The sequence below is a fragment of the Homo sapiens genome, chromosome 7 (assembly GCF_000001405.40).
Source record: "Homo sapiens chromosome 7, GRCh38.p14 Primary Assembly".
Taxonomy (NCBI): Eukaryota; Metazoa; Chordata; class Mammalia; order Primates; family Hominidae; genus Homo; species Homo sapiens.
In genome coordinates this window covers 104,666,734-104,680,567 of record NC_000007.14, presented here as the reverse complement: position 1 = coordinate 104,680,567, position 13,834 = coordinate 104,666,734, and the positions used below count along the sequence as shown (strand labels likewise).

The 13,834-nt window shown below is 40.4% G+C and overlaps 1 protein-coding gene and 1 pseudogene across 2 annotated transcripts in view; both read right to left on the bottom strand.

Annotated features, from left to right (window-relative positions):
• Window positions 1-13,834, bottom strand: part of LHFPL3 (LHFPL tetraspan subfamily member 3) — a 579,959-nt gene that overhangs the window by 227,994 nt on the left and 338,131 nt on the right. The gene's annotated exons all lie outside the window — the stretch shown is intronic.
• Window positions 8,996-12,835, bottom strand: EIF4BP6 (eukaryotic translation initiation factor 4B pseudogene 6; annotated as a pseudogene).

Genomic DNA, 13,834 nt, shown 5'->3' with positions numbered 1-13,834 from the left:
CCTTGAGGGATAATGGGTATGATGAGAACGAGGAAATGGTAGGGCTTGATAGGGAGATATTTTGGGCGGTAAAAGTTACCCCCAAATCACACCATCAGAGCACTTGCTCATGTCACTCATACAATCCTGGGCATAAATAATGAATCCCCTGTGCTGGCACTTTTCCTGCAGCCTAGAGGGCTGACAAAGCCCGTTACAGGGAGCACCGTGACATCCAAGTAGAGAAAATGTGTTTTCAGTTTGGAGGCCAATCAGGAAATTACTCTTGCTGCCAAAGGAGTGGGATACAATTTCTCCCATCTTTTCAGCATAGGGAGGTTCCCTGCTGAGGAGGGGAGGCAGGCTGATTGAGTGGCCACATCACCACATGGACAGAAACACAGCCATCTTCGGGTGAGCAGCTGGCGCTAACTGTCCTTCACGTTCAGCTCATTGCGTTCCTTCCTCTCTGCGACTCTGAAGAAGAGTCTGCTTTGAACATGTTAGGTTTGAGAAGCTGATTAATCAGCTCAGTGCAGATGTTGAGCAGGTTGCTAGATATACAAGTCTGAATATCAGGGAGAGGCCTCAGTGAGAGATAAAAATTTGAACCTTGTTGAATTGCATGAGATCACTCAGGGAGAGAATGTAGTTAGGGAAAAGCAGAGGGGCAAGGAGTTATTTCAAATAGAATGAATGCAGAGCACCCACTATTATGCGTGTCGCTCTCTTCCCTTCAGAGTGAAGAGACCACCTGAGTTTTCTTTGATATCTTATTTTACAATGAGCCTTGTAGAAATCTTGGAAAACAGAGGGTAGCATGCATTTTTTGACTTTTGATCTCACAAAGGTATATTCTCAGTGGCAAAAAAGTGTCAGGTACAAAATTACAATTATGGTCTAACAAAACTCCAAGAGGGGAAAAAGTATGTCTAAAATCTGTCATTTGGCTTCAAATCTCAGAATGTAAGTTCTATTCAGGTTCTAACTGTGGCTTTGCCTTCTTTCATTTGGCTACAGTGTAATGAAATAAACATTGACCAATCAAGCCAGTTAACAACTGAAAGCGTTCCACACATGTTTTGGTACAAAGTATGTGCACACATTCCTTGATACAGCCTTTGAGAGGCAGAGCCTAACTCCCTACCTCTTGAATATGAGCTGGACTTGGTGACTGTCTTCTAATAAACAGAACAAGGTGGAAGTATGGGTGTTTTATGACAAGATTGAGTCATAAAAGACATTGCAGCTTCAGACTTTCTCTTTTGGATTATGAATACTGGGGGAACCCAACTGCTATGTAGGCAGCCAAGCAGCCATGTGGAGAGAGCCACAAGTTGAGGTCTCAGTTTCTGTCAACAACCAGTAAGGAGCTGAGGCTTCTTGCCGACAGCCATATTGGAAGTGGATTCTCCACTTACAGGCTCAGATGACTGCAGCCCTGGCCAGCAGCTTGACTGCAATCTCATGAGAGACCTTGAGCTAGAACTACCAGCTAAGTTGCTCCAGCATTCCTCACCTTTAGAAATTATGTGACTAATGTTTTAAGTTGCGAAGTTTTGGATTAATTTGTCACGTAACAATAAATAACTAATAAAATGCACAATTAAGAGGTATAATAATTTGAAAGATATTCTTTTTTACTTTCTGCTCACAAGTTTTAGAAAACTTATTTAGATTTTAATTTCATTTTCCAGGAACCTTCTTAGATGAATGTGAACAAAATGAAAAAGAATTTCATGTTGTTTTTAAAAAGCAAGAAACAAATAAAACCTATGGCCACACTAATGTTAGTGTTCAAATGCAGAGTTAATTGCAATGTAATGAAAGCTTAATTGAAATTTTTTATTATGGCTAATTTTTTATTATGGCTATACAATTATATCTAAATACTTCTGCCATTATTTCATTATTTTAAAAACATTATTCTGCCATCAGAGTATAACAGTTACATTACCTTAAGTGCTATAAAATTAATAATCCTGGTTAAAAAGAATTAAGAATTGTGTCTTTTCTTATAGTAAAGAAAAAGTAGTAGGTTCTTTTTGAAGCTTTTAAACACACCAAGTTTGGCCAGGAAAAAAAATAGCTTTTAAAACATCAGCCACAAAACGAGGTACCAGAAAAGAGGAGGATTTTTTCCCTCTTCCTTTTAAGTGGTCACCTTGGGGTTGTTTTTGAAATATGTAATGCTAATGTTCAACAAATGCAGACAGAAATAAAGTTACTTAAAAAGCAACGTTTGGTAAGGGGTGCTGTTTACTCTGGGCGTCAGAGTCTTGCCTGTAATACAGACTAGCATTAAACCTGCCCAGAATTCTCTCTTTACCAGGGCTCAGAAAAGTTCTTCAATTATACACTTTATAACAACAACCAAATATATAAATTGAGAAAAAAACCCTACACTATGAAATGAGAACTTGACACAGTTTATCTTACAGTTAATCTACTGTAATACACCTAAATTATATGCATGTATGAATTCTCGCGCTGAAGTTTGGAAATAAACTCCTAGGAAAATGCTGAGGATCCTAAATTCAGTGGGGCTGATTGTCTCAGATCTTGTGTAATCCAGAGTTCTTGCATCAAACAAGGTCTGGTGACTCTTCCTCTATGTTCCAGGCCTATCTGCCACAGACTGCACTGTCCAACACAGTAGCCATTTCTGCACGTGGTTCCGTAAATTTAACTCAATGAAAATTAAAACTCAGTTTCCCCATGTAGGAGGAACAGTGTTTATTAAATTTCTTTTATGAACAGTCATGGGGACACGTGCTAATCTGCAAAGATAAAGGAAATTTTTGTGCTTACTCATTAAAAATATCAGTTCCTCAGTTGTACTAACTATGTTGCAAGTGTTTGATAGCCACATGTGGCTACTGAACTGGACAGCATAGATACGGAACACTTCCATCATTGCAGAAAGTTCCAGCGGACAGGACTGCCCTAGAATGTTGCTTCTGTGTTACCTTTGTGGAAAATTCCTAGCTTCTTCTTCTGTAATTGCTCCACATGCCAATGTAATTAAAAAACATGTGGTAGAAAATTTGGAACAGGTAAATCCAATAGAATTAAAATAATTCATCTGTGACTACCCAGAGATGAACATAACATATTGGTTGATTTCCTTCCAGTCTATTTTCTAGGCATATGCAAACAGAAATAGCCCATATAGTTTCACTATATAGGGATCATTTTTCTTTTTCTTCCTTTTTTTTTTTTTAAGAAGACTGGGTCCTGCTGGAGTACAGTGGTATGATCATAGCCTGCTGTAGCCTTGAACTCCGAGGCTCAAATGATCCTCCTACCTCAGCCTCCAAATGTGTTGGGGCTGTAGGCACATGCCACCACACCCAGCTAATTTTAAAATATTTTGTAGAGATGTAGATCTCACTGTGTTGCCCAGGCTGGTCTTGAACTCCTGGCCTCAAAATATCCTCCTGTCTTGGCCTCCCAAAGTGCTGAGATTACAGGCATGAGCCAGTGTGTCTGGCTGAGGTTATTTTTCTGTTATTACTTATATGACATTGTTTTTAATTGCTGCATGTTATTCTATCATATGGACATGCTATAGTTTGTTTAGCCAATTCTGTATTGTTTATGTTGTTCCCAGCTTTTTACCACCTCATACGTGGATGTTTGTAAACATCTTTGTAGTTGAATCTGCCCTCACCAATGACTGTTTCCTTTGATTACACCTCTAGAATCAGAATTTCCAATCAAAGCAGAATTTGACTGCTGAGTCAGAGTGAGCCAGTTTTCAGGCTTTTGATACAAATAGGACACACTGTCCTCCAGAAAATGTGTACCACTTTACAAACTTACCAGCATTGTTTCAGAAAGACCATTTTTACATCTCCTAGTCAACTCTGGAATTTAAAAATCGCATTATTTGCCATTTTGATGTTATTTATTTATGACTGAGGCTAAACATTTCTAAGTATTTACCAGTGCTATTTCTAAGATGGTTTGCATCGTCCAATATGCTTGTCAGATGATTCTGAAAAAGACCAGGTATGCCTGATAAAATATTATCTACCAAAAAAGAATACATGCATCATAAACACATCACATGGGAAGTTTATGGATGAGACTTTTCATTATATCTTTGCTTTTACATCTGATTGTATGCTTAAGAAATTATGTGTTTTACTCCTTTGGAAGTCAAAGATGAATTTTTTTTAAAGTAAAAAGATGATAAACATAGAGCTTACAATTTCCTGACTTCATACTTGTTCATATGTATAGGCCTCTATTGATGTGTTAGTGTTACTGTTAAAGATTTTTAAGTTATTTCTATGCCAGGGATATTAGTCCTCTGTTTAAACCTGATCTTGGTTTTGCCTTTAGATTTAATATGCAGTGTCCTTAGAAATGGAGAATATTTTATAAGCATCAATAGCTAGGTGAGCATAAAAGCAATGGAGCAAATCATGAAGCAAAAATGTGACATATCTGACTACATAAATTACTCTTCTATACTTCTCAGTCTTCTTTGCTGCTCCTCCTCATTAATTGGACTCTAAAGGTTGGAGAGCCCCAGGCTCAGCCTCTGACAATTTTTCTCTACCAATTTAACACCTAGCCAAAGATCATCTCATCTGGTCCCAGGCTTTAAAAAACATCCCTATGCTGAGGGCTTCCTGATGTCTATCTGTAGATCTGCCCTTTGCCCTCATCTCTAAATGCTTGCATCCAGCAGTTTTGGAGGGACAACTCAAATGTAATATATCTAAAAGGGAAGTCCTGATTTTCCTCCCAAACCAGTTGTTCTCACAGTCTTCCATCCTGAAAATAATTGATCCGTCTTTCTAGCTTCTCAGGTCAAAAAACCCAGGTGTCATTTGAGAAAAACCCAGGTGTCTGTCTCGTGCCCCACATTTGATTCTTCAGCAATACCTGTTTACTCTGCCTTCAAAATCAACTCAAAATGTGATTATTTCTCTTTACCTCCTCTGTTATCACCCTAATGGAAGTTGCTATGATATCCCACCTGGATTGTTGCAACTGACTCCTAATTGCTTTATCTGCTTTTAGCCTTTGTTCCCTGCACCCCTTTTCCACATAGCAAGCAGAATGATGATCCTTTTACGTATTAAGCCACATTATTCCACTCTTCTCCTCAAGACTTTCAGGGGCTTGACTTCTTACTTGGAGCAAGTCCAAAGGAGTGGCAGGGAAGGAGTAGAGCGAAGGCCAAAGGAAGTCCTGCATGAGCTGCTCCCACCTGCTGCTTTTCTGACCTCACTGCCACTACTCTCCCCTCTGCCCACTCTGCTCCAGCCTCTCTGGTGGCTCCTATTTTGCAGACACTCAGTACTCTCTGCCTAAAGGCATTTGCACCTGCTGTTTCTTCTTTTAGAAAACACTTCTCTTAGATGTCTCCTTGGTGAGTACCACCTCTTCCCTCTGCTCAGATGTTACCTTCTTAGAAGTATACTGCCTCCCACCATGGAGATTCCTTCCCACTCTGCTTTATTTTTCTCCAAAGTATTTATCGCCACCTGACACATACATTTACTTACTTTAAGAATTTGCTTATTGTCTAGTTTTTCGCATCAAAACGTTTTCTCCATGAAGGTAAGAACTCAGTCTCTACCTCCATATTTCACTACCTAGAATAGTACCCTACAGCATAGTTGAATGAATACTTCTGTATTTCTTTTCTTGTGAATTTCTCAGATCTTCTATATCTTTTGCTCTTGAGTTTTTAGTGTTTCTCTTATTGATTTATGCATGATTTATATTTTGGATATGTTTACTCTTTGTTGGAAATATTTTCTTCTAATTTTGGTTTGCATTAAAATTGTATTATGATGTTCCCTGAAGTATAGAAATACTACAGTTTCATATAAAGTATGTCAATCTTTTTTCTCCCATAGTTTATTCCATAACTTTTATGCCTTAGAAAGTCCCTTTCCCGAGTGGGTGCAGTGGCTCACGCCTGTAATCCCAGCACTTTGGGAGGCCGAGGCAGGTGGATCACGAGGTCAGGAGATCGAGACCATCCTGGCCAACATGGTGAAACTCCATCTCTACTAAAAACACAAAAATAACCTGGGCTTGGTGGCAGGCACCTCTAATCCCAGCTACTTGGGAGGCTGAGGCAGGAGAATCGCTTGAACCCAGGAGGCGGAGGTTGCAGTGAGCCAAGATTGCGCCACTGCACTCCAGCCTGGCAACAGAGCGAAAATCCGTCAAAAAAAAAAAAAAAAAGAAAAAGAAAAAGAAAAACAGGAAGTCCCTTTCCCACTTCAAATTTAATCAAATGGTCAAATATATTGTAGAATGTTTTTAAGATTTTTTTTTTACTTTTAAATCCACTTGGGATCTCTTTTGCTATATGGTGTGATTGACAGTAAGACTGTGTGGTATGTGAGAACTGACCAGAGGAGGATGAAGAAATCAGTGTCTAGAGCACATGGCTTGTACTGAAATTATGAAGAACATGTATTCTGAGTTTTTCCTAATCATGCACAAAGCAAAAAAAAAAAAAAAATCATGCAGCAAATCTTTGCTACTGGGGCTTGCCTGCCTCTCAGCTGATCCTGGAAAAGTCTTGGAAAAAGAACTGAACATGTCCAGTTGGTCTCTTTTCACCAAGGGTCTGAACATTCTTTCCAGCACCCAGTTTCTTCCCTTCTTAAATGGGTCAAGCAGTATCATTTGATGAACTATGCAGATGAGCATTAAGAATCACATAGATACATTTCCAACAGAGTGGTTAAAGGTGCTTTTATCTTGTTCTAAGGTTTAACTAAGACTCTAACTTCAAAACAGAAATATCTGTCTTTATTGTTCTAATTCAGTTCTGAGCTCTTGCCACTAATTGAGGATGCTCTGACTTCAACCCATCAGATCCCATGGGCAATGTTTCTAAACTCACAGTCTCTAGCAGGCAAATTTGCCCTTCATCAAACTCTCTTCTGAACTGATGTCTCATTGTTCCATACTTGCATGCCTATTTGCCCAAAGAGAAACAAAGCTTCCCCATCCCCAGTCTAATGCACACTGCTTTTGGACAATATCAGAAAGCATCACATTTGGCTCCATTTGAGGTCAGATTTCATGTAGTCCATGCAAAAAGTGCAAAGACAGTAACTACCAGCCAGAAGTTTCCTTCGTGTTGCCTTTGAATACCAAGATCTCTGATCATGCACTAGCCATTATAATGATAAGATTAGATAAAATCAGTGATCTTCCAAAAAGTGTTAGACGAGAACATACAGTATAGATAAAAGCGAACTATTTAGTATTTAATAGTCTATTTTTGGAACTTTGTAAGGCAAACCAACAAAACGATTAGTGTTTCCCAAGAACTTCATACTCTATGTGGCTCAGTTACCCTGTACCTGTGTATAAACTCTTTTCGTACTTTGCATGAGTGTTTTAAAAAATCAAATTCTGATTTAGTTTGGATTTCAAGTCATTCCAAGCCATTAAAAACTATAAAGCCTACATGAAGGAGGAGGCTGTAACCCTGCAGGGGTCTGCTGGATGTCATAATGGGATTTGTACATAAATGTAAATTAACCAGTAAGTGAGCTATAGCTGCAAAGGATAAACATTAAAGGGTAAGTGAAAAGGGGGGGCATTATTTCATTCAGATTAGAAAGAAAAACCAGTATTGAGAGAGTCATCTGAGAAATGACCACATATTTTTCCTTTAGTGATTGAGTGGAGAAAAAAAAAAGCAGAAACCCCGAGCATTCATTTGCTTTCAAGAGCATGGCAGCAACATGAAGCCATTCCTGGGGATCGACCAAAATGGCGGGGGTGGAAGGTAGATGCAGGTGAAGGAAAACAGCAGGAACTCTACAAGGGTTCAGGATGAACTGGGAAGGTGAACTCCTGAGTCCACAAATGCCAAGGCTAGATTAAGTTGTGATTCAAAAATAAAGGTTCAGGGCTGAGATACCTCATTATACTCGGATAGAGAAGGAGAAGAAACACACATGTCAGTCCCCGCTAAGTGTTGGGCATATCCATGATCTTATGATGCTAATTCCCTCATCGACTGTATAAGACACAGGAAAGGAGTCAGGGCTGGCTTTGCCACTTTTTAGCCGCTGAGATTATTCATTTATCTCATGCTTGGTTTCATATAATTCACTCCTTACTCACTTACGCATTCATTCCAGCATTTATTCAATACATTCACTGTGCGAGGAACTGAGAACACCAAGATGAACTAGGATATAGACTCTGACCTCAAGAAGTTCCCAAAAGGGGAAACCTACCATCAGAAAGACTATAAAACCAGGTGGTAGTGTAATGAGGAGAAAGGGGGTGTGTGAACCCCTATAATTTATCCTGGGTTGATATTAAAAATATTTCACATCTCAGTAAGCACGGTACTGATGAGTCAAAAGGGATGCAGCCAGGAAAAACCAAGCCACTGACCCACTAGTTTGGCTCATCCTGTGTCTTACTGGTTGGCTGAATGTCAGCCCTGCATACACCCTACTACACAGAAAATTTACATAAGCAACCATTGCAAACACACACACACACACACACACACACACACTTGGAAGTTAAAGTTTTGAAGAAGGAAAAAAGAAAAGGTATTCAAAAGAATAAACCTTCTCCTACTTGCTTGCATCCACAGCTCTTTAGTACTCTCATCATAATCTATAGAAGTAATGGAAGGAAAGAATAATTCTTTCAAAAGAAATAGGGACATTGATATTAGCAGAGTAAGAGAAATTCAAACTCCAATTTTCCAACTAAATTATAAAATGGGTAGAGTAATACCTTGCTGGGTTGTTAGGAATATATCAAATAATGAATGGAAAGTAACTGTTTCAATACTCAGCGCCTAGAAGGTCCTGAATAAATAGGGATTATTATTTATTTTTTTACAGATGAGAAAATTGAGGCTGAAAGGGGTTAAATAATTTGTCCAAGTTCACACAAATAGTTAGTATTGGAGCCAGAATGTGATATCACTATATGATCTTATAGTGGAAAAGTCTGTATTTTTTCCTTGTATTTCTTTCTTTTTTTTTTTTTTTGAACTTTAAAGATCAGATTTATTTGGAGAAAACAAAAAACCCACAACCCAAAGGATGGGATTTTACATCAAGACATCTCCCAGGTAATAAGTCTACAGATTACAAATCATTTTCATAGAAGATATTTTTGTACAAATTTTACATGTATTCAGGAGCGGGACATTAATCAATCCCTGTTTCTATTTTAATGGGGGGGACAAGGTAGGGGACAGGGAAAAACAGTTTTGGATATAACTATTTGGAAGGAGAGTAGACATGAAGAGGGCAAACCCTAGCTTTTCATTATCTACAATCAATAGTTTTTTTTTCTTTTTTAAAAAAGAAAAAAAACACCTTTCAATCTTCAATACTCTTTAAAAGCCCACTTCTTAGCTACTGGCCAATCCACACCAATTATTTAAATTCACTTGGTACACACCTTTGTCCACTGGGTAAATTATATTCATTATGCCCACTGCTGCAGCACGCATAAACCAACACCCCTGCATGGCTGAACAGGGCCTAATCTAGGACTGATGGCAGAAGGGTTTGCAAACCAAGATCAAGGTGTTTCTCTGCTAATACTGTCTACCAAGCTGATCCCTACAAAAATGCATATAAAGGCAGGCAAGTTTAGCTACTGTGTTGCAAGAGAAACCAGGACCTTGTTAAATAGTTCTCTCCATTTCCGTTTATTCTCTCAAGGGAAGCTTAAAAAAAAAAAAACAAAACAAAACACATTGGTCTGGCCACCTCATGAATCCAACAAACATTAGTGTGGCATTTCAGTGGAGAAGGAAACTTGGGGGGAAAAAAACCCATCAAGGTTGTAAGAAAGGCTCCCAATTTAACTGTCCCTGTCCCTATTTATCCACCATCCAAGACCATCCATTATTCTAGAGCACTCTGATCAATAAAAGGGGTCAAAGCATCAGGAGCAGGCAAGGAGTGAGAACCAGAAGATATCAAGAAACCGATTTGCTTGAGAAAAGCAGCGATTCTTCCTTTCAGAGTTCTCCATGGCTGAGAGAGAAAATGCCCAAGACATCATGTATGTGACTTAGATACTGCTTTTTGGGAGGTTAAGAGTAGCATGAAGAACTTAAGATGACGATAAGAGTCTAAATTTTTAGTTTCAAGGTTTCAATAGAATGTGGATATATTCAAACTTTCAAAAAGGACAGTGTTTAGAAAGGGTAAAACTAGGACACAGAAAACATTGGGAATTACCACGACCCCCAAGTGCTTCCGGCTCCAGGAAATAACCATTCATGTGTTTGCTGGAGGTCACACAATTTTCCCCTATTACCTGGTGCAAAATGACTCATCAATTCCCAAAAGCTTCCTTTCAAACCACGATTTTCCCATTTATTTTGGTCCAATGAGTCCCATTCTTTATGGCCTATAGTCTCACTCCCAACTAACCCCCTTGGGGGTAAAAAAAAAAAAAAAAAGGAATTCCCTCTAGGCTGTCCCCCAAAACTCAGAATTAAATAAGAGGAGGGGCTGGCAGCCTCCTGGAGACTAAAACAACTTGAGGCTAAATCTACCTTTCCAAGAATGGAAAATTTATTCAGATAATGTTTGAGAATTCATATATGCCACAATAGGAAAAAAACTAAAAGGTAGAAATCTCACACTTTTCCTTCTACCTCCCTCCCCTACTGCCCAACCAGGTTCCAGGCGTTATATCACTGTCATTACCATTTCTGCTAAATGGAGACCCCTAGGCACTAATCACACTGGCAACTGCATGGTGACATAACGCACCACAACTTCTCTAAAAAGCTGTAGTCCCTTTCTCTCTGGCTGTATTGGCAATTCTCCAGTTACTTCAATACTTTAAAGGCTGCAGCAGCATGCAAAATAATTTCATTTTTTGTTTTAAAAAAAAGGTAAGAAAGGTCTTCAGGAGATGGTGAGTTTTATTTTGTCTTGTCTGGATAGAGGTTTTGATTTGCTCTCGAATGTTCCAGGGTGGAGAGAAACTAGGAGAAAAGCACAGGATGTAGAGGTCTATTTGGCATAATCTTCTCCCTCATTTTCATCTTCACCATCAACAGAGAGAGCAGCATACTTGCTTGCAGAACTGAACTTGGAAGCTGGATTTTCCTCAGGTTTCTTTGGCTCAGGTGCAGATCTGGAGTCTTGATCCTTTTTGCCATCTTTCCTATCTGACTCCTTCCAGTGGTCTCTGTTCCCTCAGTCTCCTGGACCACGGCTAGAGTTCCCAGTTTGGCCTTTTGGGACATTCATCCCATCTACTTTATTTTCATCTTTCCTTCCTGGTCCTTCCTCAGATGGTTGAGCTGGAGCTACTTTTCCCCCACCACTTGTAGGGGATTGCTGCTCTGTGTCTGAGCTCTGAGATCGAGCAGGAGGGTTAGAACTTCGCTTCACCCAAGCATTCTCCTTTGGTGGAGGGGCTGGCATTACCTTTAGGGGCTGATCAGGTTTGGGAGGTTTAGAAGTTGGAGAGTGGCAATCTTCCTCCTTATTGAGTGTTTCATTTTCTAGAGACTTCTCACTCTCTCTCCTTCATGCATTTCTGCCAGATGTGGTGGAGGTCCCAGTCTGTGATGACTCACTTCCTGTCCTCGACCGTTCCCGTTCCTGAGTTTCTTCACTTTGCCAGCTTGGGTGTCTCTCCCGAGGCCGTCGTTCTAGTTTTGGCCCATCCAGCTGACGCTGCAACTTCTCTTGTTCCTTCGTAGCCGTTCTTCTACTTCTCTTTCTCTAGCAGCTGTGTCAACAGGCTTTGCCCCTCCAAAGATAGAAGCAGCTCGAGTGGACTGGGAGTTACTAGCAGAGGAATCATCTTCCTTAGGAGTACTCCGAGGCTTTAGATTCAGTTTGGGTCTTTGGGGGGGGGGGGACCTCTATCATCACGCCTATAATCATCCCGAGAGTAATCATCTCTGGAGCTCCACGACCGATCATCCCGTCTGTCATATTGGTCTTCATAGCAGTCCCTGCCTTCTCTGTAGTCATCATCCCTGCGATACCCACTGCCAAATGCTCTTCTGCCACTGCCTATCCGGGAATCATAGCCTCTATCATAGTCTCTGCTGCCTCGGTCATCATAGCGATCCCGGCCACCATATCGATCCATATCCCGGCGTGGGCCATCCCGATACCCATCCCGATACCGGTCTGAATCATAACGATCTCGATACTTGTCTCCAAAGCTATCATCACCTCTTCTAGGTGGGTAGTCATCAAAGGTGTCTGTAGCAGGACGAGCCCTCCAGTCTGTATCTGTTTTGTCAGAATCCCGATTTCTATCACGGCCAAAAGGAGGATCATCCCTGTCTTTATCCAGTGCTTGATCAGCAACGTCCACTCGAATTCTCCTGTTACTTAGAGACTCTTCATTGAGACTCAGGGCACTGAGCAGGGAATCCAGGTCCTCAAATTCAGCATAACCAAAACCTTTCAGCCTCTCTGGATTGCTGGGTTCACGTGGTAAACGCACTGCACTGATATTTAATCCTCGAAAGAATTCCTTAATTGACTCTTCTGTAACATCATAGGGTAGGTTTCCTAGAAAAGCAGTGTAGGGTGGCGATTTGGGAAGACGGCTCCGGTCGATATTGGGTTCCCGAGCAGCCCGTGGAGCAGTGGGAAGGATGGAACGGTCAATTGGAGGCGCCCTGTACACATCGTCATCGTTACTGTGCCAAGTTGTAGAAACATCTCCTTCCAGGTCATCCGTTTCATCAGCCCAGCTGACTGGTTTGGAAACATAGGTGCTTCCTCCACCAGTACCCCCATCCTCAGCCAGAAAGTCTGTTAGGGAGATAGTCTTCCCCTTCTTATTCTTCTTTTTTGCTGAGGCCGCCATGTTGGCAGAGGGAAAGCTTTTCCTTGTATTTCTTTAAGTACTCCTCTAAGTTGTAAATTGCATGTATAATGGCATGTTAACTTTAGTTACTATTTACCCTTGGCTGTTTCAAGTTCAATGTTGTACACTAAATGGATAACAAATATTAGTTATGCTGATAGTGGATCCAGCTATGGAGGCTTTATAGGAAGATTGGCTAATCCAACCATAAGTTCATCACCCAGACAACATTGATTCTGCTGGGGCAGCTAATCTAAATTATAGGCATAAGCACCCAGGAGAGTAGAAGCGGCCGCTGGGATGTGAGCCTTGAAAAGTCAAATCTACGAAGTAACAGCAATGGCCCATGGCATGTGATGCTTAATACAGGCAGGGAGGGTGAAAGTGATTTGTGAATGCAAGAGTGGGCATAGCCACCATAAAACACGTTTATGTGCTCTTATTTAACAGGTTGCATGTAAGCCAATTAAAGATTCCCCCCCCCAAGAAAACAGATGATTGTAGGAGGGGATATATAATTGGGAACTTGCACCTTTAGAAAAGTTTCATCAAAAATCATTTAAAAGCTGGCTATTATTAAAAAGAAAAAAAAACCATGCTGGTGAGGATGCAGAGAAAAAAGAACTCTTATACACTACTGGTATGAATGTAAATTGGTACAGCTATTATGGAAAACCATATGGAGATTTCCCAAAAAGCTAAAAATAAAACTTCTATGTGACCTAGCAATTCCACTATGGAGTATTTATCCAAAGAAAAGAAAATCAGTATATCAAAGGGATACCTGCACCTCCGTGTTTATCATAGTACTGTTCACAACAGCAGATATGTGGAATCAACCTGTCTATCAACAGATGAATGAATAAAGAAAATGTGGTATATATACAAAATGTAATACTACTCAGCTATTAAAAAAAAGAATGAGGCTGGGCGCGGTGGTGGCTCACGCCTGTAATCCCAGCACTTTGGGAGGCCGAGGCGGGCGGATCACGAGGTCAGGAGATCGAGACCATCC